The 27974-nt window shown below is 48.0% G+C and overlaps 1 protein-coding gene, 1 long non-coding RNA gene and 2 pseudogenes across 4 annotated transcripts in view, besides 1 other annotated feature; 2 read left to right on the forward strand and 2 right to left on the reverse strand.

The window, feature by feature from the left end:
- ATP6V1B1 (ATPase H+ transporting V1 subunit B1) overlaps positions 1–25135 on the forward strand; it is a 29532-nt gene extending 4397 nt beyond the window's left edge. The window contains exons 2-14 of one of the 2 annotated variants that reach the window (NM_001692.4): positions 3362–3417; positions 17750–17848; positions 18037–18130; positions 18722–18799; positions 19643–19782; positions 20625–20726; positions 21300–21397; positions 22481–22604; positions 22866–23016; positions 23276–23358; positions 24142–24246; positions 24440–24569; positions 24662–25135. In NM_001692.4, the coding sequence (NP_001683.2) occupies positions 3362–3417; positions 17750–17848; positions 18037–18130; positions 18722–18799; positions 19643–19782; positions 20625–20726; positions 21300–21397; positions 22481–22604; positions 22866–23016; positions 23276–23358; positions 24142–24246; positions 24440–24569; positions 24662–24825 (1424 nt within the window). In that variant the 3' untranslated portion in view covers positions 24826–25135. Of the gene's footprint in view, positions 1–3361; positions 3418–3471; positions 3934–17749; positions 17849–18036; positions 18131–18721; positions 18800–19642; positions 19783–20624; positions 20727–21299; positions 21398–22480; positions 22605–22865; positions 23017–23275; positions 23359–24141; positions 24247–24439; positions 24570–24661 lie in introns of those variants that run through there. The other variant, XM_011532907.3, reaches the window with a different exon arrangement.
- Positions 1717–8315, reverse strand: ATP6V1B1-AS1 (ATP6V1B1 antisense RNA 1). 2 transcript variants are annotated; one of them, NR_110273.1, is made up of 3 exons: positions 7931–8315; positions 7238–7375; positions 1717–2137 (listed from the first exon to the last, which is right to left on the reverse strand). It is a non-coding gene; the product is annotated as an ATP6V1B1 antisense RNA 1 (long non-coding RNA). The 2 variants fall into 2 exon arrangements; NR_110274.1 differs by lacking the exon at positions 7238–7375.
- Positions 15375–16095, reverse strand: ELOCP21 (elongin C pseudogene 21; annotated as a pseudogene).
- Positions 24870–24979: a silencer, noted in NCBI's record as "silent region_11614". NCBI's record gives its function as "represses an Ori minimal core promoter by ATAC-STARR-seq in GM12878 lymphoblastoid cells {active_cell/tissue: GM12878}" and the evidence as "EXISTENCE:reporter gene assay evidence [ECO:0000049][PMID:35858748]".
- Positions 25288–25571, forward strand: RN7SL160P (RNA, 7SL, cytoplasmic 160, pseudogene; annotated as a pseudogene).

Consider the following 27974-nt stretch of genomic DNA (forward strand, 5'->3'; position numbering starts at 1 on the left):
ATTCCCTGGACTTTTCTGGTCCTTGGGCCCCATCCCCTCCCACACCCCCACCTCCCTATCCAGCCCACCCACCCTGCATCTTTACATCACTGCTTTCTTCCCCCAGCGCAGCCCTTTGGCAGGTGTGGCATGCAAGATGCCAGCTCTCCCGGGGGCTTATAAAAATGAGGGTCTCTCCTGCCTGCCCTGCATCCCTTTGCTTGCACAATCCACTAGCAATCCAGACAATCTGATCCAAACACCATGTGGGTGTGGGAGTGCTGTGGCTGTTTGGAGTTTTTTTTAATTGATGGGAAGGGTAATGCCCAAGCCTCTGTCTCCTACCCTTTCTCGTTGAGGAGTCTTCCTATGCCCAACAGCCCCTTAGCCCAGTACATCCTCTTTCTCTTCTACTCTCTGCCTTCTCAGGAAGTATGGCTGGTGCTAGGGGTGCAACCCTTTAGGCTGGTCAATGGGACTCTCATTTGGTTTGGAGGCTTGGGAAGGTCGGGAGGGGGCACACAATGGTTCTGATGTGGGAAGTATGAGAAGGAGCAGATGGGGTCAGTTAACACCTTTCATAATCCATCCACAAAGATTTCTTTTTCTTCTTTTTTTCTTTTTTCTTTTTCTTTTTCTTTTTTTTTTTTTTTTTTGAGACAGGATCTTACTCTGTCACCCAGGCTGGAGTGCAATAATAGCATGATCAGAGCTCACCGCAGCCTCAACCTCCCTGGGCTCAGGTGATCCTCCCACCTCAGCCTCCTGAGAGCTGGGACCACAGGCACGTTCCACCATGCCCAGCTAATTTTTAAATTTTTCTGTAGAGACGAGGCTTCACCATATTGCCCAGGCTGGTCTCGAACTCCTGGGCTCAAGTGATCCACCCACCTCAGCCTCCCAGAGTGCTGGGATTACAGGTGTGAGCCACTGTAGCTGTCCAAATATTTCTTGAGTGTGTACCATATTCCCAGCACTATTCCATGAAGTGGGACACAACGATGAGCACCACAGATGATGTCTTGCCCTCCTGGAGGTGACAGGTCTTACTGCACCTGAAGCGAGCCTGTGCATGCCAGCCCACTGCCCCTCTTTCTGTTCCACGAAGGCCCTGGATGAGTCCTTTCTCTCCTCTGCCAGAAGTGCCCTTTCCCCAGCTCCCTGGGGGCTGGCACCCCTTGACCCTGAAGGCTCAGCTCAAACGGCCCTTCCCATAAGATGCTTCCTCCAAGCGCACCCAGTCTGGTCTTCCCTCCCACTCTCGTTCACCCATCCTGATCTTTCCCTTAGGAGCACCCACTGCAGTTTGTAATTATGTTATTTGCTCTGTATCCTTCTTTTAGCCTGTAGGCACTTCACATTTTCATTTGTCACTTTCATTTGCCTAGCTTAGTACATAGAAGGCATCCATGCAGTAGATATGCTTGAAGAAAGGAAGCAGGGAGGGAAGGAAGAAGGCAGATCTCAGAGGAAAGGAGAGGAAGAAGTGGAGAGCCAGGCCAAACCTCGAAGTCCTCCAGCACCCAAAGGTCTGAGAGCGAGGAGTGTGAGTCTTCAGAGGAGGCTGACAGGCGGCCCCAGAGGGAAGCTTCCAAAGGACAGTGCACCCAGGCTCTGAGTGTAGCCATCGGAGGCCACTGAAGCCAGAGTGGAGAAGGCCAAGGAGAGGGTGGAAGGTGGGGAAGGAAAGCCAGCAGTGGGGGGCCATGCTTGTGAGGGGAGGAACTGGAGAAGGACTGGGACTGAGCGAGGTTTATTTTGTACTGGAAACATCAGAGCTTCATGGGAAGACAAGAGAGGGAGAGAGAGACAGAGAGAGAGGCAAGGAGGCTCTGGTCCTTCACCCCATGGAGTCATCTCTAGGGCCTGTTTCCCGGTGCAGGGGAAGGACCCACTATGAAGGAAGCAGGGACACCTCCTTAGTGGGAATAGGAAGGAAGAAGAGGGTGGCTCAGGTGCAGGCCAGGCAGGTCTGTAAGGTAGGTTTGAAGGCAGGGAGCTGAGGGAGATCCCCTGCTCTGGCAAAGTGCAAGTTGAACTTATCTTCTCTGGCTGTCCTCAAGGCCCGGAGTTTTCCAAATGGTTGTTACACTTGGAGGATCCTTATAAAAATCTGTGCAAGAATCACCGTGCCCAGTTGATCTTCCTAGTCCAAGTCCTGGTGAAAAGAGCTTAGATCAAACAAAAAGAAGAAGCTTGACCACACATATCCAGACTGGGAAGGGGAGGGACTTTTGGTTTTTCTTTGGCATGGGGTGGCTCGGGGCCAGGCTTGCCCAAAGCAAGAGGGTAAGTGAACCGAGAACCAGTGTGGTCCAGCAAGAAGCACAGGGTGGGTTCCCAGCCCCAGCTCTGCTACAGATGTGCTGTGTGGCCCTGGGCAAGGCTTCTCACACTTCTGGGCCCCATTTTCCTTGCCTGTGAAAGAGGGGTTGGGCCACTCCCCTCTGCATCCTGCCAGCCTGTGGCTGACCCAGAGGCCTCACAGACCCCCTGCCCACCTTGCCAAATGCCTTCATCTCAGGTGTCTCATCTCATTGGTGCATCACAAGAACCTCAGAGAAGGGCACTGGTCAGGACTATGGGCAAGGGACTGTCCCAGGTCTCTCAGCCAGCCTCTAGCAGAACCAAAACTAGGCTTGCCTCCCGCAAGTCCACAGCTTCTTCTATGGGAGTTAGGAAGTATTTTTTGGCATCTAACCCAATTCCCTATGCAAGCTGAGCTCATTTGCCATGTGTGGGTCTCTGCAGCTGCCACATCTGCAGGCATTTCCCTCCTTCCCTTGCCTTTTCACTCCCTCCCCTCCCATGCTGAGCACCCAGTGAGCCTGGGGAGTCCAGGAACCTTGTGATGAGAGCAGAGGCCCCGTCTGGTTTTTCTCACTGACGTCTGCACCCCCTACACACCACATACACACACACACACACACACTGCTCAATCAGTGTGGGGTGAATGGAGGGAAATGCAGTCCTGGTGAGGGCAGAGGAGGGCACTTTTCGGCCACAGCCGGGGGCCAGGAGCTTTTGGAAAATGCTTGGAGTGAGAGAGGAGGGAGTGGGTGAGGTGGGGGTTGAAGCCAGAGGGGAAGCAGCCTCAGGGATGAGAGGCCTCTGTGTGGTGGGGGCGGACTCTGAGGAGGCCTCTGCCCTCTGCCTGGCCCTCCCCCAGCCTCCTGCAGGTGTCCGAGCAGCAGGGGCCCTGCGGGCAGGGGCATGACCCTTACAGCAATGGTGGCTGGCCCTGTCACAGCTAATGACCCTGACGGCCCAGGCTGGGAAGGAGGTGGGGTGTGGAGAGAGGAAGGGAAGGCAGAGGATGCCTCTGTGTGTGTGAGCAGGGTGTTTGGGGTGAGACCCCTACTCACCCCCGCCCCTCCCCCAGCCTACAGGACTGTGTGCAGCGTGAACGGGCCCCTGGTGGTGCTGGACCGGGTCAAGGTAAGACTCTTCTGCTGCCTCCCTGGCACTAAGGCCAAATCCCAGGGCGCCTCTCCCCTGCCCTGCAGGATTTCTTCTAAATTACCCTTTCCCTCCATGGCCCCCAGGGCCTGCTCTGTTCTCTCCATCCAGGCACCCACTCCCACTCTCCTTCCCTAGCTGTATCCCCAGCCGTCCAAGCTTTCTCCTCCCTGCCTTTTCAGTAAAAACCATAAAAACCCCATGGAGGCCCAGCCCTGGGCCTTGGGAAACCTCCTACTATCCCTAACAAGCTGTCCTGCCTCCGTTTCCCTATCAGTGGCATGGACGTACCTAACCTCCTCAGAGGAAGGCTGGACCACAGCACGGCTGTACCTAACCTCCTCGAGGGCTAGACTCTCCCCACCCTCGACTCTCACAGGATCTTCTTTTAACGGGAAAGAGGAGGAGGTGGCAAGTCAATGCCAACTAAATTTTCTAGGGATCTTGATGGCCTCCAAAGGCCTTTGGAATATCTCAGTCTCAGCAACATGGGTGGTAAGTGAAGTGGGCCCCACCAAAGGTAAGTGGGCTGTGGGCTATTTTGTAGCCCCTGGGAAACTGGCAGACACTGACAGTATCTTGAGTCCTGGGGTTGGGAATTCTTGAGCCATAAAGAGCCCTGCAAAGGTACAAGATCACTCTCTTATCCTCCCTCCACCAACCAGCCCCACTCCCTCAGCCTCCCACCCCACCTCCTAGCTGAGCAAACTGGAAGTCTCGGTGCCCCTTTGACCCCTCTTGTCCCAGACCCCACACCTGCCAGCGCCCATGTCTGTAGCTCCCTCCCACCCCACTGCTACCTTGTGATGGCGATGGCCTTGGGCTCCCAGCCTGGCACCCTCCTATCCTGTCTCCATCCTCCAGCCCTTCAGACCTGACCCTTGCATCAAATTTGCCCAGGGCTCTCCAGTGCCCTCAGCTTACAGGTCTTTTCTTTTTTTTTTTTTTTTTTGAGACGGAGTCTCACTCTGTCCCCCAGGCTGGAGTGCAGTGGCGCAATCTCGGCTCACTGCAAGCTCCGCCCTCCAGGTTCACGCTATTCTCCTGCCTCAGCCTCCCGAGTAGCTGGGACTACAGGCACCCGCTACCACGCCCAGCTGATTATTTGTTTTTTAGCAGAGACGGGGTTTCCCCGTGTTAGCCAGGATGGTCTCGATCTCTTGACCTGGTGATCCGCCCGCCTCGGCCTCCCAAAGTGCTGGGATTACAGGCGTGAGCCACCGTGCCCAGCTGCTTACAGGTCTTTTCTATGAGGGTGCCTGCAAGCCTTTCCACTCACTCTCATCACTCTCCCTTCCCTGTGTAGAAACCAACACCTGAAATAGTGTCTGCATGGGGCTGCCATTTGAGATCTCTGGGCACTTGCATGTCATTTTTTAAAAATGTGATCAGTAATGTATGTTTATTAACAAATTAAATTACGAGATGTCACCGCCAGTTTCACTGCTATAATTTTAAAGCAGTGATGAGCACAAATACTATTTTGAGATACCTGCAACGACTGTAATGTGGTATGAAAATATCTGTGATTTCTGATGGTAACAAAGTCACAGGTACCGTGGAAATGCTAATTCTACCGTGGTTTGTTCCTTACATTCAGAACTAGAGGAAACACTAAATTTGCGTAAACGTTAATGAATGTAAAAATGTAACTTTCCCATTCAAGATCACAGAAGCCCTGAGTTCTCTCTGTAGACTCTGAGATAGGTTCTAGGCAAAGAACCCTTCTCACAATTAGTTGGACAAGAGGATAGAGTATGTAGAAAGGAATGACAAAGAATGGGGGATTGTGTCTGTGCATTTTATAATAGACACACAATAATTGTACATATTCCTGAGGTACACAGTGATGTTTTGATACATATAATGCATAGTGATCAGGTCAGGGCAATTAGCATATCCATCATCTCCAGCATCCTTTCTTTGTGTTGGGAATATTAGTATCCTCTTTCTGGCTATTTGAAGAGATATATATATATATATATATATATATATATATATATATATAGTTGTTAACTACAGTCATCCTATTGTGGTATAGAACACTAGAACTTATTGCTCCTGGCTAGCTGTAATTTTGTGCACAGATTTTTCCCTCTGCCTCCTAGACTACACTTCCCCCTATTCCCTCCCTCTGACTCATCCCCAGGGTTGAGAGGTCACCTTCTCCTGGATGCCTCTCCCTCTTCTCTACTTTTTGTGGTTTTATTAGTGGCATCCACTGAGGTATTTGGTCAAGATCTGGCCATGTATCTCCTCCCTACCCTTCCCCACACACACCGTGCCCTGCTATTGGCCATGAACTGTGTTTTGTTCATCTTCAGCTCCAGAAGCCCAACACAGCATTTTTACTGAACACATAGGCTATAGTAGGTGCTCAGCATGTTTGCTCAAAGGAAAGGTGAGTACATTAATGAGATAAATGAATGAATAAATGTTAGCATGACTAGCTATGCACCTGTCAAAACCTGAGCCAACAATATTAAATAAATCAGACCCATTCTTTGCTAACAAACAGATTCTGAGTTCATACGGACATTACCACTTGACCCCCCAGTGTAAGGGACGCCCCAGGAGGAAGTGTGGCTGAGTAGTTAAGTGCAGCACACTGGGTTTGGATTTTAATCCCAGATCCATCCCACTCTTTTCTGCTAGCTACATGCCAACCCTAGATCAACAGCATTAGCACTGCCCAGGAACGTGTTAGAAATACAAATTCTTGGGCTCCACCTCAGACTGACAGAATCAGAAGCTCTGGGGGTAGGGCCCAGAAGTCTGTCCTCACAAGCCTTCCAGGTGAACTGATGCTCAAGTTAGAGAACCATCAATCTCGGATTGTAAATCCCAGTTTCCTCATCTATTAAATAATAATAGGATTATTGTGAGGTTCACATCAGACAAATGTAGTATTATTCTCCCTTGAGAATAGCCAGCAATGTTTCTGCCTGGAATGCAGAAATGCTAATAAGCCTGATTCAACAGTTGGTGCCACCTCCTGCCCCCTCTCCACCTCCACCACACTCTCCACCAGACCTGCCATTCTCCATGGGACCCAGTGTGGCATGGAGTCGGAACCTATACAGGTGTCCATTTTCTCCACTGTAAAATGAGGCCGATCTAGGAAACCAGAACTAGGTCCCCAGACCTGTGGTTTTGCGACTATCGGATGCATCTGTAGCTTTGGCAGAGAAAAATAATTGGGTGGTGGAGGCACCTCTCCCCATCCCTCTCCGTTGCCCCTACCCCTTTCCCTCTACCAGGATTTGGCAAATGCTACAATTCTGTTTCTACAGCGCCACCTTCTGCCCACATTGAATCACACAGGCAATTACTCTTCCTGCTTCCGTCCTCAAATGTAAGAACATTTGAGGGAAGAATTTTGTGTAGATCAGAGGTTCTTAGCCCAAGGAATTAGGCCCTTGAAATTGTGTGCAGACCTTTGAAGGTATGCATGAATGTGCCTGTGCATTTTTCTGGTAGGAGTTTCTACAGTTTCGTCTGATTTTTCAGGGTTCGTGACCCAGAAAAGTCTAACTCTCTGATTTGTATAAGTTGAACAAGCATCAGAATATCAGGGGTGCAGGGGGCTTGTTAACAGGCAGATTGCTAGGCCCCACCCCAGAGCTCTGATTCAGCATGCCTGGGGTAGGAGGCCCAAGAATGTACATTTCTATCAAGTTCCTAGGTGATGCTGCTGGTATGGGGACCACACGGAGAACCTCTGTTCTAGAGAATCTTCTGACTCCTGTAGTCTGTGATTCAAATTGGTCCCTGTTTGAGAATTGGAGTAAGCACTCACCTTAACCACCAGACTCCATCCCCAATGTCTGTGGCTGCTTTCAAAAGAGTCTGCATCAGCTCTGAAGACAATTTCCAAAGAGGAGCCTCCGCACTGCCCTGGCCATTGTCAGCAGGAGGGACCTTAGAGGCAGCATTCCTGTGCACAAATCCCGACAGGCTTGCTAAGAACTTCCAGTCCTCCGTGTGTAGACAGCAGCTCCCCTGTGCCTGGCCACTTGCTGGTTGAGAGCTCAGTTGAATCTCCAGCACGGGGTTACATTGCACTGAGTCATGCCCTCTTCCTGCAGCCCTCTTAGTAACCGACATCAACCGAGTTGATGGGATCAGGCCTGCTCAGTATGCGGCTGGGAAATAGGGCCCCTTAAGATACAAGCTCCTGGACTAGCTATCCCCCACGGGAATTCTCCCAGGTACCCACTGCCATAACTGGTCATGAGATCCCACCACCAACAACAATAACGACGAACATCCAGCACACACTTAGAGCCTGGGGCTCTTCCTAAAGGTTCCAGACACTACACCCTCCATGCCTGAGTGTGAAAACCTGATGGCCCTTCCCCAGATCTGACCACAATTTCTGCCATTTAAAGTTCATTTTCTCTGATTTTGTCCTTCAGGGACACAGAACGCACCACTCTCCTCTCCACTCTCCTCTCCTGCCACCCTCCCTCTCTCACCCACATAAACTCACATGAAAATGATCACTTTTTTTTTTTCTTTTTGAGACGGAGTCTTGCTCTGTCGCCAGGCTGAAGTGCAATGGCACGATCTCTGCTCACTGCATCCTTCTTCTCCCGGGTTCAAGCGATTTTCCTGCCTCAGCCTCCCGAGTAGCTAGGACTACAGAAAATGATCACTTTTAAATCACTCCACCGCCTGATTTCTTTGGGGCACACTCTGGCCTGTGTTCTGTACAGCAACTTTTCCCCTGAGGTTGAAACAGCCCTCCGTCACCTCCAGGGAGATGACAAATAATGAGGCAGGGCCCGTTTCGTATCGAAACACAGGTTATCAGAGTGGGAGAGGAAAACGAGCCGGGACGTGTGTTCCACGCGTTTCCCAGGCCCTCGCTGTCCGTGCTCCTGGGCTCCCTCTTGTGGTTGAGAACCCAAGACGCCTGGGTGTTCGGAGCTCCTCCCACCTCGGAGCCCTCCTCCCCGGCCGGCCTAGTGCTGAAGCCCCCACTCCGCAAGGCTGAGGGGTGGTTTGGGGAACCACAGGTCACCTTCCTGGCATCCTCTTCACAGGACAAGGGAGGACTCAAGGTAGCGCTCCCTTCCGTGTGATTGTCAGGGCTGCAAACCTAGTCTCAAGTTCGACCAGCAGGGGTTCCCTGGCGGAGTGGTCCCTACTTGGTCACACCTTGCTGGGGAATTGGACCCTCCGCCCCAACCCGCAAGCCCTTAAGGTCACTAGTTTGTGGCCAGTAGGTGATATAACGATAGTAATGATGATGATAATCACCAGCACTGTGCTGTAACATGTCCTAAAAATGTATTATATTTTAATTGCAAAAATAATACATGCTCCTTGTAACTTAGTGAAAAAGAGGAAAGACACGTAAAGTTAACTATCTGCCCCTAACCGCTTTATTCTCAGCCCCGAAAGACCCTGCTGAATACGCTCAAACACAGGCAAATATGTTAGAGGTTGACCTCGGGGTCAGTCCCTTGAGAGCCAAGGGACTGACAGTGGATCCACTGACAGTGTCAGCGGATACACATTTTACGCATTCTTTTGGATACTGGCATAGCAGGCGATAGTATGGATGTACTGTAACTTACTCAATAGTCCCATTATTGACAGACATTCGTATGTTCTCAGGTTTTGCCATTACAAATAGTACAATATTGTATCCCTTTTAAACGGACGCTTTTGTGGTTATAGGATAGATTCCCAGAAGTGGAATTGCTGGTTCAAGTACTTTTTTATTTCAAATTAGATATTGACAATTTGGGGCAAGATGGCTTGCCCAGAAGGGTTGTGGTAATTCACATTTCCACCAACCAGGTATGAGAGGACCCACTTCCCCACATCCTTGCTGGCCCTGAATATGTTCTCTCTGTAGTTTTACCTATCTAATAAATGAAAACTAGTACTGTCTCGCTTTTATTTACATTTCTCTGATAACTAGGAAAGTTGAGTGTCTGTCCATATGTTTACCATTTTGATTTTGCTTCCTTCTCCGTGAAATCTTCCTACCAAGCAAGTTGTGCATACGGGAGCTCCTTGTTTATTGCTCACAGGCTATCTTTTGCAACAATAAATGAAACAAAGATTTCATCTATTGTGTCTCTGCCATACAGAAGTTTGAAATACTCATATGATCAAATATTTTTTGTTTATACCTTCTGAATTTCTTGTCTTGCTTAAAGACATTGCTCATCTGTCTTTTAATTGGATTATTCAGAAAGATAGGAAAGAAGAAAAGCTCTTCCAGTATTTTTTAAAAATTGTTTTTACTTTATATTTAAATTTTTTTTACATGCCTGGAATGTATTTGGGTTTATGATGTGGTTATCTTCTAACTAGATATCCTCTTATGTTCTATATATTATTTCCCCTCTGAGAATTAATTAATATACAACATTTGTTCTATAATAGTCCTATAAAATCTGGGATCTCCTTCTGGACTTTTTTTCTTTCCTACTGATCCATTTGTCTACCTCATATCAATTTACTGCTTGACTTCAGTAGCTTTATAACAAGTTTTAATATCTGAAAAGGCAAGTCCTCTATCTCTGATCTTTTTCATAACTACTTTGGCTATTCTCAGACATTTATGTGAACTTTAAAATAATTTTATTAAATTTTAAAATAAACAATAATCCATTAGGGTTGGATCAAATTTATATACTTTTCAAAAGGATTAATGTTTTTATGCTAGTAACTAAGAACATTAAGACAATAATGTTCTTCATTGTTTAGGACTTGTTTTATGTTATTCCATAATTTTTTTTTGTACCTTTCTTGTTATATTTATTTCTAGCTATTTTATGAGTTTTGGCCCTATTGCAGATGGGATGGTTTTCTCCGTTGCCTCTTCTAACTGGTTACTACTAAAATAGAAAAAAAAGGAGGGGGGGAATGATTTTTAAATATTTATCTTATAAACAGCCAAATTATCTTATTCATTCTAAAACCTTCTTTCTAAACCAGAACCTCTTGAGTCTTTCTAAATGTATAATATAATCTGCAAATAAAGGGAATTATGTCTCTTTTTCCGTCAGTATACTTTTACTTTACTTTTTATTTTGAAACAATTTCAATTTTATAAAAATTTGCAAAGATAAAAATAGTAGTAGGAACATCCATGTCACCAACGGTTAATATATTATCTCATTTGCTCTATCATTTGCTCTCCATGTGTGACTGTGTGTGCATAATTTTTTCCTGATTTTTTTTTTTTTTTTTTTTTTTTTTTGAGACGGAGTTTCACTCTTGTTGCCCAGGCTGGAGTGCAGTGGCAAAATCTTGGCTCACTGCAACCTCCAGCTCCCCGGTTCAAGCGATTCTTCTGCCTCAGCCTCCCGAGAAGCTGAGATTACAGGCGCCCTCTACCACGCCTGGCTAATTTTTGTATTTTTAGTAGAGACAGGGTTTCACCATTTTGACCAGGCTGGTCTCGAACTTCTGACCTCAGGTGATCTGCCCGCCTCGGCCTCCCAAAGTGCAGGGATTACAGGCATGATCCACTGCGCCCGGCCTTCCTGAATCTTTTGAGGGTACGCTAAGCTCAAGTACTTCAGTGTATATTTCCTAAGAATTAAGATATTCTTTTATATAACTACAGTAGAGCTATCAACTTCTGAAATTTATACTGATACAATACTTTAATCTACCATCCACATTCCAATTTATCAGTTTACCTGATATCGGGTAAGCTGATAAATTGGAATGTAGCATTTTTTTTTTCACTCCAGTATAGGATCCAGTCTAGGGTCAGGTATTGCATTTGTCATGTCTGTCTAGCTTCCTATAATCTGGAACATTTTCCCACAGCCCTTCTTTGACTTCCCACAGCCTTTCTTTGACATTTTTGAAGAATACAGTCACCTTCAACCACCACCTTTAAAAAAATAGAACACTCGGCCAGGCGCGGTGGCTCATGCCTGTAATCCCAGCACTTCAGGACGCCGAGGCAGGCAGGTCAGGAGTTCGAGACCAGCCTGACCAACATGGAGAAACCCCATCTCTACTAAAAATACAAAACATTAGCTGGGTGTGGTGGCACATGCCTGTAATCCCAGATACTTGGGAGGCTGAGGTAGGAGAATCGCTTGAACCCAGGAGGCAGAGGTTGCAGTGAGCCAAGATCGCACCATTGCACTCCAGCCTGGGCAACGAGTGAAACTCTGTCTTAAAAAAAAAAGATAAATAAAAATAAATAGAACATTCTCTGTTTATGTTTAATTTTCTTTTTTCTTTTTCTGGTCTTACTGTATAAACAAAAACTTCCAAAACAATGTTAGGTAACAATTATAATATAGGCATCTCTGTTACTGATTTTCATTGGAAATGAAAGTAACGTTAGCATTTTACCATGTACAAGGATGTTGATGTTGGTTTTGGTTAATAGTTTAGTGTTCAAGTAGTTGCCTTCCATTCCTGTTTTATATAGAATTGTATTAGAAACAGATGCTTGGCCAGGCACAGTAGCTCACGCCTGTAATCCCAGCACTTTGGGAGACCAAGGTGGGCAGATCACCTGAGGTCAGGAGTTGGAGACCAGCCTGGCCAACATGGTGAAACCCCATCTCTACTAAAAATACAAAAAATCAGCCGGGCGTGATGGCGCACACCTGTAATCCCAGCTACTTGAGAGGCTGAAGAAGGAGAATTGCTTGATCCTGGGAGGCGCAGGTTGCAGTGAGCCGAGATCTCGCCATTGCATTCCAGCCTGGGGGACAGAGTAAGACTCTGTCTCAAAAAAAAAAAAAACCACACATAAAACAGATGCTGAATTTTATCAGAAGCCTTTTGGCTTCTATTTACATAATCTTATAGGATTCTTTTTTAATCTATGTTGACGAACTCTCTATTATTATGAATTTTGTTATCAAATATTGACAAATTCCCTAAAGTTGATTGCTCTAGTCTTGCATTCTTGGATTAAATCCTACTTGGTCATACATGTTTATTTAATGCACTGCTTGATTAGACTAATAATTTATTTCTGCATCTATATTAATAAGAAATATTGATCTATAGTTTTCCTTTTGGCTCTATCTTTAATGTATTTGGGAATTGGGGGCTTTCTATTTGGTAGTTGTTTCCTTCTAATTGTTATTCATTTTATTTTATTAGCTTAGCTAGTTCCTCCCGTACAAGGCTGAATAGAATGAGAATAGCAGGGATTCTTGCTTTGCTCCTAATTTTAAACGGAATGCTTTATGCATCGTATCATTGAATATCATATTTTTCTGTAGGGTTTGTTTGTTTGTTTGTTTTTTGTTGAGACAGGGTCCCTCTCTGTCACCCAGTGCAGTGGTGCAATCTCAGCTCACTGCAACCTCTGCCTCCTGGGTTCAAGTGATTCTCCTGCCTCAGCTTCCCCAGTAGCTGGGATTACAGGCACCCACTACCACACCTGGCTAATTTTGTATTTTTAGTAGAGATGGGGTTTCACCACGTTGGCCAGGCTGGTCTCAAACTCCTGACCTCAAGCGATCTGCCCACCTCAGCCTCCTAAAATGCTGGGGTTAAAGGTGTGAGCCACTACACCCAGCCTATGTAGGGTTTTTTGAGGATATTCTTTTTGGAGTTAAGAAATTTCCCTTTTATTTCCTGTTTTCAAAGAGTACTTTTGTTCTTTTTTGTTTTGGTTTTAATCATGGATGGGTTTTTTTGACTTTTTTCAAAATGTTTTTAGGTGTTCATAGTTTTTAATCTTTTAATTTGTTAATAAGGTGAATTACATGAATAGATTTTCTCATATTAGACTAGCCTTACATCCCTAAAATAATCCCAACTTGGTCTTTTAAAATTTCTGTTTATGTGTATATGTTTATCTTCATTTCTTTTCTTTACTATTTTGGCTTATAACTTGGTCTTTTTTATACATTGCTAGATTGGGTTAATATTTTGTTAGGATTTGTGCATCCATGTTCACGAGTGAGATTGCCTACAAGTTTCCCATAATTATTTTATTTTGGTATCAAGGCTATAATTGCCTCATAAAATGAGTTAAATACAGTACCTTCTCTTCCTGGCTTTGAAGAGCTTAAGTTTCAAATTATTTATTCCTTGACTGTTAGAACTCACTGGTAAAACTATCTGGGATTGCTATTTAATATCTTAAAGATTTCAGGATTATTCTGGCTTTCAATATCATTTTCAGTTGGTTCTGGTTTGAGTTATATTTATTCATGTTATCTAATTTCTCAAATGTGTTGCATAAAATTGTTCATAGTTCATCTTTTTAATATTATCAGTTTATCTAGTTGTGAATTTATCCCAACAATTATTTATTCATGCCTTTCTTATTTCTTAATCTGTGTTGCCAGCAATTTGTCTACTTTATTCAGCTTTTCAAAAAACCAATTGGCTTTGTTGGTCTTCTCTATTCTATATTTGTTTTCTGTTTTAATAATTTCTCCTCTTATTTCCTCTACTTTCTTTGGGGTTTTAATGCTGTTCTTTTTTCTGACTTCTCACATTGCATACTTTTAGCTTCTTCAACATTTTTCTTATCTAATATAATCATTTAAAGCTTTGAATGCATCACACATATATTGACATACAGCTTTTCACTATTATGGGAGCGAAATGTTTTCTAGTTCTGATTATAAATGCTTCTATAGCTAGAATGCTTTTCTTTCCAAATGTAAGAGGTATTTCTAACCATTTTTTTGCTGTTGTTATTGATTTCTAACTTACTTTTATGGTCAGAGAATATGGCACAGCTTTATATCTTTCATAGGTAATGGCACAAAATCATGACCTCCTCATTCTTTTCCAGATAATCTGTTATTTCAGTTTTGATTGCCTCTAATGACAAGGAGTAATTCAGAAGCGTGCTTTAATTTCTCAGAATATTAGGAATTTGGGAGGAAAGTGTTGTCTTTTTACCATCAATATTTTGTTTGTTTGTTGTTTTGGGTTTTTGTTTGGTTTGGTTTTGTTTTTCATAGAGATGGGTCTCGCTGTGTTGCCCAGGCTGATCTCAACCTCCTAGGTTCAAGTGATCCTCTCACCTCAGCCTCCCAAAGTGCTGGGATTACAGGCGTGAGCCACTGTGCCTGGCCCCATTAATTTTAGTTGGATTATGATTATGGCTTACTCCCTGGTAAATCAGCGACCTGGGAAGTGAGGTGAGGGAGCCTAGGGGATGCAATGCGTTTGCTCCAGGACTTTTTCCGGGAAGAAGGTGCAGGTATGGGGCTTAGATCTCTTGGTGCTGATGACAGCTGACGATGAGTGTCAATGGGGATGGTGTGCTCTGCTAGCCCAGCTTCCCAGGCCAAGTCTGTGACCTCCTCTAGCTGTGGGTAAAGACTGGGACTTGGTGGCTCCCAGAGCGTGCACAGACAGCAGAGCTCAGGGATTCCCCGGGGCAAAGCTCTACCTGCCCATGTGCTGCCTGTGGTCCTGGAGGAACAGCCTGATGGTTTGTTGGTTTGGTTTTTGGTTTGGTTTGGTTTGGTTTTCTGAGATAGGGTTTCACTCTGTCACCCAGGCTGACGTGGGACATGATCACGCAGTGGCATGCAGTGGCATGATCATGGCTCATTGCAAGTTCGACCTCCTGGGCTCAAGTGATCTTCCTTTCTCAGCTACCTGAGTATCTGGGACCCTGATGTGTTATAAAAATTGAAATATAACTCACATACTGTTAATTCAGTAGCTTTTAGTATATTCACAGTTATGCAAACATCATCATAATAAAATTCCAAAACATTGTCATCACCTCAAAAAGAAACCTCATGCCCATTAGTCCTCACTCCAGTCCTCCCTCTCCCAGCCCCTGAGCACCAACTAATCTACTTTCTGTCTTTATGGAATTGCCTATTCTGGACATTTTCTATTAATAGAACTGTGTAATATGTGGCCTGCTGTGCCTGACTTTTTTCACTTAGCATAATATTTTCAAGGTTCATTCATGTTGCGGCATCTATCAGTGCTTCTTTTTTTTAATGAATTGGCATATTTGTTTATTTCTCAATTCGTGAAAATGTCCTTAATTTGTTGATGTAGCAAACAAATTTCAACTCTGCTAGGCAAAAAAACAAATCTGCTTTGCAGTGAACTTCATATAATTCAACTGCATACAGGCAACACACTATATATGAAAAAAGTTACTAACTGAATTATGGGTATTAACTACTGAAAAGAGTTAACAGTTTATTATAATTTTTTTTTTCACAATCTAGGAAGCTGGCAGCCAGCAGCAGTTCTAACACAATTTCGGGTGCTATTGGGAATTCGGGAATCTTGGTGGAGCTGTTACTGTAGTGAAACTTGTTCGCAAAATACAAGCATACTTTTACTAGCACATGTGAAGGAATCTCTCTAAAATTGACCTCATTGGTTTTGTTCTCAGCAAACTGATCTGGGCCATTCAACATAGTTTTTATTGTGCCTGGTGTTGATGCCTGTTCTCTTTTTACAATACATTCATGACCATTGGATGATATCAATTTGACATACATGGCATCAGGGACTTCATAGCCACCATAGGTTTTCTCCTCTCCATCCATTTTGTTCTTATGAAATCCTCCTTTGCTTCCCAAGGAACTTGAGAAGTTTTTCATTAGCCCCACAGCCACCATAGCCGGGTCCCCATGTACTGCCATAGCCCCATTCCAGGGCTGCCCCCTGACCCGGCTGCCTGCCCCCATGGGTTCCAGGGCAGTCCCTTCCTTTTTAATGCTGAATGATATTCTATTGTATGAATACATCATATTTTGTTTATCCATTCATCAGTTGATGGACATTGAGTTATTTTCACTTTTGGCTATTATGAATATTGCCAGACTGCTTTCCAAAGTGGCTGCACTATTTTCTATTCCTCCCAGCACTGTATGAGCATTCAAATTTCTTCACATCCTCAACACTTGTTATTATTATTTTATTTTATTTTTTTGAGACGGAGTCTTTCTCTGTTGGCCAGGCTGGAGTACAGTTGCATGATCTTGGCTCACTGCAACCTCTGCCTTCCTGGCTCAAGGGATTCTCCTGCCTCAGCCTCCCAAGCAGGTGCCCGCCACCATGCCTGGCTAATTTTTGTATTTTTGTAGAGACAGGGTTTCACCATGTTCCCCAGGCTGATCTCAAACTCCTTATGTGATCCACATGCCTCAGCCTCCCAAAGTGCTGGGATTACAGGCATGAACCACCTTGCCTGGCCTATCTTTTTTATTATAGCCATCCTAGAGTGTGTGAAGTGGCATCTATCTCATTGTGGTTTTGATTTTCGTTTCCCTAATAACTATTGATGTTGAGTATCTTATCTTGTGGCTATTGGCCATTTGTATGTCGTCTTTGTAGAAATGTTTTTTCAAATCCTTTGATCAAATCCTTTTGATTATTATGGTTTAAAAGTTCTTCTTCTTTTTTTTTTTTTTTTTTGGATGGAGTCTCACTCTATCACCCAGGCTGGAGTGCAGTGGCGTGATGTCGGCTCACTGCAACCTCTGCCTCCTGGGTTCAGTGATTCTCCTGCCTCATCCTTCCAAGTAGCTGGGACTACAGGTGTGCACCACCACACCTGGCAATATATATATATATATATATAGCATTTTCAGTAGAAACGGGGTTTCACCATGTTGCCCAGGCTGGTCTCAAACTCCTGATCTCAAGTGATCCGCCCACCTCGGCCTCCCAAATTGCTGGGATTACAGGCATGAGCCACCACACCCAGCCTGAGTTCTGTATATATTCTGGATATTAGCCTGATTTTTAAAATCCTTGATCCCTGGAAGGACTGCGTGAGTCAATTCTAGTCCCATGCCACTGGTATCGAAGGACGCCTGAGCAGAGGGAAGCACTTTGCGAGTGTGTTTACCCCTAGTCCACAGAGGCAGAAACAGATATGCTGTCCAGGATCCCGAGGCAGCCCAGTCATTATTACATCTTTATTGAGGTTTTACAAAGTGCCAGGCACCATGCTAATGGATCTGCATATGTTATCTCATTTCCTCCCTGCAGCAGCCGTGGGAAGTAGGTGTTATTATTATCCACATTTTAAAGACGAGGAAACTAAACCTCATTACTTATGACTTACGTATTTAATGAGTTACTGAAATCGTAAAGTAACTTCCACAAGGTCAGGCAGCTACTAAGCTTCAGAGTTTCAGCTGTAACCTGGTCTTGCAACTCTGAAGTGGGTGCAACTGCCTCCCAAACAGAATTCAAACTTTCACTTCCCAGCCCCTTGAGTTCATTTCCACAAGTGTCTGGACACTAGAGGGGAGAGAACAGTTTGGGACTGGGTCAGGGAGGGCCGGAGGAGGAGAAGGGACTTTGCCTCCAGTCTCACTGTCACGTGGCTGCTCTCCCCTCCTGCCAGTTTGCCCAGTATGCGGAGATCGTCCACTTCACCCTCCCAGATGGGACTCAGAGGAGCGGGCAGGTGCTTGAGGTGGCTGGCACCAAGGCGATTGTTCAGGTGAGTGGGGTCAATGGGACATTGGCTAGTTAAATCAATGAATTAACCCATAAAGTTCCCACACTATCTACAAACTCTGAAGGCAGGAAATGGTCTATTTCCCTGAGAGCACAGAAAGTGCCCAGAATGGGTAGCCCCATTCCCTCCAGCAGGCCCCTTAGTGGAGAAACTCCCTCTTGTTCCCACAGGTGTTTGAAGGGACATCAGGGATCGATGCCAGGAAGACCACTTGCGAATTTACAGGGGACATCCTACGAACTCCGGTGTCAGAGGACATGCTGGGTGAGGGACAGGGAGGGGCAGGGGTGGGGGTGCTCCTCTGCCCTCCCAGCCCAGCTTCTCTGACCAAACCCTCAGCACACTACACTGTCACTTCCTGTTTACTTCCTGCCTGTCTCTCTGGTGGGCTCTTTGAGGTCTGGGGTATGTCTTCTCTCTGATTCCTGACCCCAGCTCAGGGTCTGACATACAGGTGTTCAATAAATGAGGAAGGTGGGTTCAATAAACTAGAGACACAGTAGGTAGCCACCTATTTGGAGCCAGGCTGAAAGGGACTGCTAAGCCTTGAATATCCCCTAATTCTCTCCCAAGACCTGGCCTGGCCCTCTCCTCTCTCTAGTCCTGGAATCCCCCATTAGAGTCATGGTCCTGGGCCAAGGCCTTGCCTGTAAAGGTTTCCAGGAGAGGAAGGAAGACTCTCACAGGACAGTCCTTGTAGCTGGCTCTCTGGGTTACCTGTGGGCTGCCGGGGAGGGGGATACAGGGCACTCCTGTGGGGAGTGGGTGGGAGCTGGTGGTGGTGTGGAGGGTAGACAGTAGTGAGGGACACAGGGCTAGCCTGAGCACCCTGCAACACTCCTCGTCCACCCTCAGGTCGGGTTTTCAATGGCTCCGGCAAGCCCATTGACAAGGGGCCAGTGGTCATGGCGGAGGACTTTCTGGATATCAATGGTGAGTGACTGGAGGTTCTGGATGGCTTCGGGACCCAGCCCTAACACCTTCCCCACTCTTGGAAGTTCTGCCCAGACTCACAAGCAGATCAGATGTGATGGGAGAGCAGCAAAGGCCTCTCTATCCCCAAATCTTCCACTGAACCCCAACACTGCCGTCAGCACTCCATGTCCATCCCCTGTAAAATGCCATCATCATTGGGCAGTGTTCCACGCCTGCCCGAAGGCCATCATGCCCCTGCCTTTGGCTTCCTGTCCACAATCCTGAGAATGGGCTGCGGTGCTCTGCCGGCTCTCGTCCATTCAAGTGGGCACCTTCCCCAGGCCTCAAACCCTATCCCATCTGTTTACTGAGGACACACTGGGAGGCCTGTGGGAGCCCGTGGCTTGCCCTACGCCACACAGAAAGTCAGTGGCAGAGCACAGAAGACTCATCTGCTCAGACAGGAGGCTGAGTCACCCGCAGGCCCTCTGAACCCTGCACTAGTATCTGGAGGTGGTGATGAGGGCTCTGCCCTCTTGGGCCCTGAAGCCTCAGCCTGAGTTTCCACCTGCCTGCCACTTCCAAAGCACAAGGGCAGCTCTGTCCAAGGTAGCACTGGGCCTGTGGCTATTTAAATTTAAACTAATTCAAACAGAAAGAAAGTCCCATTTCAGAGTCACACGTCATGTGCTCAATAGCCATTTGTATCTAGGGCTACATCAGGCAGCACGGCCAGAGCACGTTTCTATCATCACAGAAAGTTCCGTCAAACAGGGCGGCTCTGGAGTCTGGGGTCAGTGTCGAGGAGAGCAGGGAAGGGTTTGAACCCCTGAGCATGGCTCTGTGATCGCCCTCTCCCAGGCCAGCCCATCAACCCGCACTCCCGCATCTACCCCGAGGAGATGATTCAGACGGGCATTTCTCCTATTGACGTCATGAACAGCATTGCCCGCGGCCAGAAGATCCCCATCTTCTCAGCAGCCGGGCTCCCCCACAATGAGGTGAGGCCTGCAGGGCCAGCAGGCATGGCTGGGGGAGGGACAGAGCAGAGGCTGGGGCTGCTGGACCAGTGAGGACAGCTCCTGTGCCAAGCAGGCAGGGGCTGGCAGGGCTGGGGTCGCCAGCATCGAGACTGGCAGCTGTCCCTGGGCAGCTCAGGGACTCAGGACTGCACAAGATTTCCTCCAGGTCCAATCTTCAGGCTGCCCCAAATGAGGCAGCCCATGGGGAGCTCCCAGAGTAGAAAGTCCTGCTTGGGGGAGCTCACAGCCCCTACCACCATCCCTGCACTCATCTTTACTCACCCGCTCCTGCTTCTCTCAACCACCAACAGTGAACAGCCGCTTCCTCTCAGAGCAGCTGGTGTGACAAGGTCTCTAGATGCTCCTCCAGCCACCCAGCACCCTGATCACTCAAAATGGCCTGAGTGATCAGAGGGCATAAGTGCCCCCACCCTACTGTGACCCTTCCTTCCCAGCTCTGGACATGGTGTCTTGGAGGCCCACAGACTACAGGCCCAGGGCAACTCTGTGTCCAAATAGCGCCCCCAGCAGGCTGTGGAGGGGTATGGAGCTGCCCTATGCCAAGGTACCCAGACCCATAAAGAGGCAGTTGCTCTTTGGGACTGTTACTCTGTCCTGCCTCTCGTGTCAGGCACCCCCAGCCCACTAGCAGCCCACAATAACTCCCACCCCCCACCCCAAGAAAGACTAGCACCTGGGGCAGCCCCCTCACCTCTCTGGGCTTGGATCCCTCCCACCAAAGGCCATGAGCCAGTGGTGCTCAGTGGGACAGGGGTCAGCTCCGACTCTGACGTCCTCCTGCCCAATCCACTCTGCCCTAGATTGCCGCTCAGATCTGCCGCCAGGCGGGGCTGGTGAAGAAGTCCAAGGCTGTGCTGGATTACCATGACGACAACTTCGCCATCGTCTTTGCAGCCATGGGGGTGAGGAGACTTAGTAGACTGGCAAGTTCTGGAGGCTGTGAGCAGGCAGCCTGTCTCCCTCAGCCCCTGGCATGACCTGATCTGATGGGGAAGCCATCAGTGTCCCGGCCAGCCAGGAGGGGTGAGGATGGGAGCAGTGACCACGGCCATGTGTCCCTCAGGGTGTCCCAAAGGCAATCACAGTGGTAGGATGGGCCCTGGGTGGCCTGAAGGAGGGGAAGCCAGGGGATTGGGGGAAAAAAGATAGCTTCAGGAACGGGAGGCCTGGGAGGCCAGGGAGGTGGGCAGAGCAGCAGCTGGCGACAGGAGGGGCAGGGATGGCACTGAGCAGAGCTGGACTTAAAGAAGTCTCAGCCTCTCCAGGGGGATCTGACAAGGCCCTATGAGGACTGGGGCAGCAAACCCAGTGCCTGCCCTTTCCAGCCCCGGGGTCACCCCATGGCCTTGGTGTCTTCACCCCCAGCGACTGGTAGCTGGTCAGTCCACAGGCTTTCCTGAGGACACCTGGGAGGGGCCAGGCCTTGCCCTCAGGCCACAGGGCCCTACCTCCAGCCCACCCTGCTGTGTATCCAGGTGAACATGGAGACAGCCAGATTCTTCAAGTCTGACTTTGAGCAGAATGGAACCATGGGGAACGTCTGCCTCTTCCTGAACTTGGCCAATGACCCCACGTGAGCTTTCCCTGATGCCCAAACTGCCCTCAGGTGGGCAGACCCCGTCCCCTTCCAAGACCTACAGTACCAGGGCTCCAGGGCATCCCAGAACTACAGCCATACGCCAGAGCTGGGAGAACAACCCTCATTGTGTAGATAGGGAAACTGAGGCCTGGGAAGGGCTAGGAAAACTCACAGGCAGAGGGAGCCAGAACATGACTCTGTCTGCTGCCTGTGCCCTCTGCTCTTCCCACAACCCATGTCCAGCCACCATTCCAACTCAGGGCTCCTCATCTCTGTGTCACATCCACAAAGTCACCCCAAGAAGATCAAACTGCTATTATAAAAGTGTAGAAAATGGGAGTTTAAATCTGGGGGTCAGGTGGATGAAAACAATTCTAATAAACTATCCTGGGTATTTCTGGAGGGTACTCCAGAAAGCAGATAATAGAATTCTGGAGGTTTTGGTGACATCCCCAAGGGGAAGAGCCACAGCTCCAGAGCTGGGAACTGAGAGTGTCTGAAGCTGAGGTACGGTATTCAGGAGCACTTCACGTGGGAAGGGTTCATAGGGCTGGCAAGCATAGGGACGAGCACATTAGGTGTGCTTTGAGCAGTGAAAGGGACAGTGAGAGGAGCAGTGAGAGGGACGAAACCATCCAGAGGACATGCAGTGAGGGTGCTCCAGCTGACCCAAGTGTGGGTGCCCTAGGATAAGACAGAGCTAAAGCAGGTGCCCCCAACTCATCTACAGTGTGATATGCCAGAGTCCTTCCCCTTCGGTCCACAGGGGACAAAAGCCACTCTCATCTTCATCAGGCACTCCTGGCCCTGCCTGGCTTTTCCCACCCAACTTGCCTCCTGGCCTCAGCCCCTGTCCCCTTTCCTACCTTGGACAGTAGGCGAGGTGTGTGTTGGAGTCTGCCTACTCCCAGGAACCATGGCCCTGGCCTAGGGGATGGGGGCAAGGGCTCATCTTATCCATTCCTCTGCCACTATGCACAACACCAGCTTCCCAGTTCACCTTGCGCTCAGCCCCCAGGCTATGTGGTGCATTAGCCCAGGCCTCCAGGCTCTCTAAACACCTGGCTACACCTCCAGGATCGAGCGGATCATCACCCCGCGCCTGGCGCTGACCACTGCTGAATTCCTTGCCTACCAGTGTGAGAAGCATGTGCTGGTCATACTGACGGACATGAGTTCCTATGCAGAGGCCTTGCGGGAGGTAAGCTGGCTAGCAAGGGGTGTCAGATTCCTCCCTACCCCTCCCTAAGCCTGACACCCCAGACGGTCACCCTGCAAATAGAGGGGAGCTGGTCCACCCAAGCCTGCCCCACTCCCATGAGTTCCAGGGCTTGGTCTCAGCCTGGCCATTCCTCCCCTGCCCCCCACTCCATTTCTCACAGGGTCACTGAACCTCCCACCCACCCTTCCTAGCTTCAGCCTCTCATCCCCTTTCTTACCCCAGTGCCCATGGATATTGCAGGTCTCTGCTGCTAGAGAGGAGGTGCCTGGGCGCCGAGGGTTTCCTGGATATATGTACACAGACCTGGCCACCATCTACGAGCGGGCGGGCCGCGTGGAGGGTCGGGGAGGATCCATCACACAGATCCCCATCCTCACCATGCCCAACGACGGTAGCCTCCTCACAGCCCACTACCCTCCAGAGCTCCCCTGTCCTCCCTTTTCCAACCAGATACTTAAAGGGCCCACGTTGCTTTGCACAGATGTGCAGCAGCGCTTTTCCTCCATCGAGATAGACACTGCCCTTTCCTCCACCATCCATGCCCCCCACACATCCCTATCACTCCCATGAGGGAAACAGACCCCAGGTGGCCCTGAGTGGTTGGAGACCTGGGCCCCCACCCACACTGAGGCCAGTGAGTTTTCTTGTAGATATCACCCACCCTATCCCAGACTTGACGGGCTTCATCACAGAGGGACAGATCTACGTGGACAGACAGCTTCACAACAGACAGGTACTGCCCTGTCCCTACCCACTTCCTGCTCTCAGCCCAGAGAAACACTGAGGAACAGATGTTTCACTGCCCCCAGGCATGAATTAGGAGGGGCCAGCCAAAGCGAACCCCAAACAGGAGACAGCCACAGGGAAGACTGCATGGTTCACAGACAGAAGACAGGCCTGAGCAGAATCTGGTTTACCTGGCTCTGGGATCTTGAGAAGATAATTTCATCTCTTGGATCCTAGGTTTCCTCATCCATAAAATGGGAATAATCAAATATATCACCCAGACGCATTGTGGAGGATAAAAATAAGTTGGCATATAGAAAGCATCTGGCAGATAGTCAATACTATTTGCCTTCCCTTTCCAGTTATTTGCTTCGGTGGGCAGAAAACAACGGCTAACTAACACACATCTGTCCTGTGTGTAGGTTAAAGGTGACCTCTATGACGTTTTTCTCTTTGCTTGGCAGGTATTTTTTTTTTTTTTTTTTTTTTGCAGCTATTAACCATTAAGCTTCAAAGTGGTTTTTGTCCACATTATCAAAAGTTTTGAAATACTGAGCCTTTTATTAACTAATGCCATGTCATCTTCCCCCTCCACTGTTCTGTCTAGGGCCACATATAAGACAGCTGATGCCCAAGCCCTAGAATTTGTGGGAGATAAGAGAGGGTGGGTGTGGCTGTTGACCCCTCGGAATGTAGGATAAGTGAGGAGCTTCTCCTGAGAACAATTTGGGGACAGGGGGAGCAAAGCTTGAGTCCTGCTGTCCACCACTCCCTTTTTCTTCTCCCTCAGATCTACCCCCCCATCAACGTGCTCCCTTCCCTGTCGCGGCTGATGAAGTCAGCCATTGGGGAAGGCATGACAAGAAAGGACCATGGAGATGTCTCCAACCAGCTGGTAAGGAGAAGAGGGTCCGGGGGCTGGTAGGTCCTCTAGTTTCCGAAGCTGAAGGCCTGAGCCCCATCTGAAGGACAAGCTTTTCTCCTGGCAAAATTCCTTTCCGAACGGGGTCCCAGTGTGGCCAGGTTGGGGGCTACTGGACTCCCGTGGTAAGCCCGCAGCGGCCACCGACGCCTTGCCCCTCCCCCAGTACGCCTGCTATGCCATCGGGAAGGACGTGCAGGCCATGAAGGCAGTAGTTGGGGAGGAGGCGCTCACCTCTGAGGACCTGCTCTACCTGGAATTCCTGCAGAAGTTTGAGAAGAACTTCATCAATCAGGGTAAGGCGCGTCGCTGGTGTGGAGCCAGTAACCTCTTCACCCTCCTTCCGCCCCACACACATTCCTAACACTCCCTCCCGCTCTGTCCCTAGGCCCCTACGAGAACCGCTCGGTGTTCGAGTCGCTGGACCTGGGCTGGAAGCTGCTGCGCATCTTCCCCAAGGAGATGCTGAAGCGCATTCCGCAGGCCGTGATCGACGAGTTCTATTCCCGCGAGGGGGCGCTGCAGGACCTCGCGCCTGACACTGCGCTCTAGCCCCGCGCGCCGTGGCACCCCAACACCGGCAGGGAACCTACCCTCGGCTCCCGGGTCTCCCCTCCCTCGCCACCCCAACCAGCGGCTTCTGCGCCGCCCTCCGCCCTCCGCTGGCTCCGAGGTGGTGGGGGCGCCGCACGCTCCATCCCTTTCCCTCGCTCGATTCCTTTTCCCGCGCTCCATGCCTCCCCCTCGACTCCCGGTGCTGCGGAAGAACTGAAGGTTGCGATGCCTTACTCTGACGGGAGCATCTGTATTTTTATGTTAAAAGCCCACAAAATAAAAATAAAAAGTAACTGAGATGAATTTACCTTCGTTGAAAACAAGATTGGCAAAAGAAAGATAAAAATGAAAGGAAAAGATAATTGTTGAAGCTGGGGGCTGGGGTTATGAGCACACGGAGTTCATTAAACTATTCTCCCTATTTAAAAAAAAAAAAAAAAAAAAAAGCCCAACGCGGATGCTGAGACTGTTGTCCCAGCTACTCTGGAGGCTGAGACGGGAGGATCGCTTGAGCTCAGGAGTTCTGGTCTGTCGTGCGCTATGCTGATATGGTGTCCACACTAAGTTGGGCATCAATATGGTGACCTCCCGGAGACGGGGGCCATTAGGTTCCCTAAGGAGGGGTGAACAAGTCCAGGTCTGAAACCAAACAGGTCATAACTCCAGTGCTGATCAATAGCAGAACCGTTCCTGGGAATAGCCACTGCACTTCAGCCTGGGCAACATAGCGAGACTCTGTCTCTTAAAAAAAAAAATAAAAATTAAATTTAAGCCCGGCGCGGTGGCTCACGCCTGTAATCCAAGTACTTTGGGAGGCCGAGGCGGGGGTCACTTGAGGTCCGGAGTTCGAGACCAGCCTGGTCAACATGGCGAAACCCCCGTCTCTACTAATACAAAAAAAATTAGTTGGGTGTGATATCGCACGCCTGTAATCCCAGCTACTAGGGAGGTTGAGAAAGGAGAATCACTTGAACGCGGGGGGCAGAGGTTGCAGTGAGCTGAGATCGCGCCACTGCACTCCAGCCTGGGCGACAGAGTAAAACTCCATCTCATATTAATTAATTAATTAATTAATTTTTAAAAAGCTGCATTAATGTCTTAACAGTTGACAATAAAATTTTTCTTAGGGAGATAATTATCTTCCTTAAGAAATAGCTTGGGCCAGGAGCGGTGGCTCACATCTGTTAATCCCAGCACTTTGGGAGGCCGAGGCGGGCGGATCACTTGAGGTCGAGAGTTCGAGACCAGCCTGACCGATATGGAGAAACCGCATCTCTACTAAAAATACAAAAAAAAAAAAAAAAAAATTAGCCGGCTGTGGTGGCACATCCCTGTAATCCCAGCTACATGGGAGGCTGAGGCAGGAGAATCGCTTGAACCTGGGAGGCAGAGGTTGCGGTGTGCCAAGATTGCACCATTGCACTCCAGCTTGGGCAATAAGAGTGAGACTCCGTCTCAAAAAAAAAAAAAAAGAAAAAAGAAAAAAGAAAAAGAAAAAAGAAAGAAAGAAATAGCTTGATAGGCTGGGTGTGATAATTCAAGCCTGTAATCCCAGCACTTTGGGAGGCTGAGACAGGATTGATTGCTTGAGCCCAGGAGTTAAAGACCAGCCTGGGCAACATAGTGAGACCCCTGTATCTACTAAAATAATTTTTAAAAATCACCTAGGTGGCACACACCTGTAGTCCAGCTACCCAGGAGGCTGAAGCGGGAGGATTACTTGAGCCTGGGAGGTCAGGCTGCAGTGAGCCGTGATGGCGCCACTGCACTCCAGCCTGGGCTGCAGAGTGAGACAGGGTCGCCCCCTGTCTCAGTAACAAACAAATAAACACACAAATATCTTGATAAATTTCATGTGGAACATGAGCTCAGGAGCCTTGGAAGGGACAACCAAGGCCACAAAAGATGTGTGTGACTCTAAACAGCTCTGCCTGAGAGATGCTAGGTAGAATTTGGTTTGCTCCAGACAGGAAGGGAGAAGAGTTGCTAGGGAGAGGGCCTGAAGGACTTGGGGGGTATGAGTGCAGAAGACTGAAGATCCCCAGTTAAGAAATGGATGAAGAGTATTCTATAAATTAGGCTGCCTGATGTTCCTTTGAAAGCTGCCAACTTTTTTGTAATATCAATCCCTCCTCTGTCTCCCCTGCCCCATCTACAGTGAAATCATGAATGCTTCCTAGGAAGGGAAAGAAGGGTGGTTTGGGAGGATAGAACTTCAGCAAAGAGCTGAGTTTCATTTCTAGGTAAACGTGTTGTAGATGACGTCAGAATTATTGGATCAAGAGCTAGGACCAAAGGAGGACCTCCCCATTCCCACCCCAAGATAATTTACAGCCATCTTGGGGAAAGGTTTGGGTGTCCGCTGGGGAAAGGTTTGGGTGTCCGCTGGGCAAAGAGTTGTTTTTAATAACAATTTCATTGAAATATAATTCCCATACCATACAATTTATTTATAATTGTAAGAGTTAAGTTTTTGGTATAGTCACAGAGTTGTGCATCCATGGCCACAATCAATTTTAGAACACTGTCATTACCACGAAAAGAAACCCTACACCCTTAGCTTTCACCTCTCAACACCTCCCCACAATCCATTCACTCCTCAGCCCTAGGCAACTACTAACCTACTTTCTGTCCATGGATGTGTCTGTTTTATTTCATATAAATGGAAACATACAATATGTGGTCTTTTGTGACTGGCTTCTTAGCAAAATATTTTCAAGGTTCATCCATGCATGCATCAGTACTTCATTTCTTTTTATTACCAAATAATATTTCACAGAATGGATATACCACCTTTTGTTTATCCAGCAGTTTATGGACATATGAGTTGTTTCCACTTCTTTGCTATTATGCATAATGCTACTATGAACATTCCTGTGAAAGTTGTTATGAGGACATGTTTTCATTTCTCTCAGGTAGATAACTAGCAGTGGAATTGCTGGGTTGGATGGTAACTCAGTTTAATGTTTTGAAGAACAGCCAGCTGCTTTCCAAAGTGGGTGCACCATTTTCCATTTCCCCAAGCAGTGGATGAGGTTTCCAATTTCTCCACATCCTCAGCAACGCTTATTATCTGTCCTTTTTATTATAGCCATATTAGTGGGTACAAAGTGGTATCTCATTGTGGTTTTGATTTTCATTTTCCT

Source organism: Homo sapiens, chromosome 2 (genome assembly GCF_000001405.40).
Source record: "Homo sapiens chromosome 2, GRCh38.p14 Primary Assembly".
NCBI classification, from domain to species: domain Eukaryota; kingdom Metazoa; phylum Chordata; class Mammalia; order Primates; family Hominidae; genus Homo; species Homo sapiens.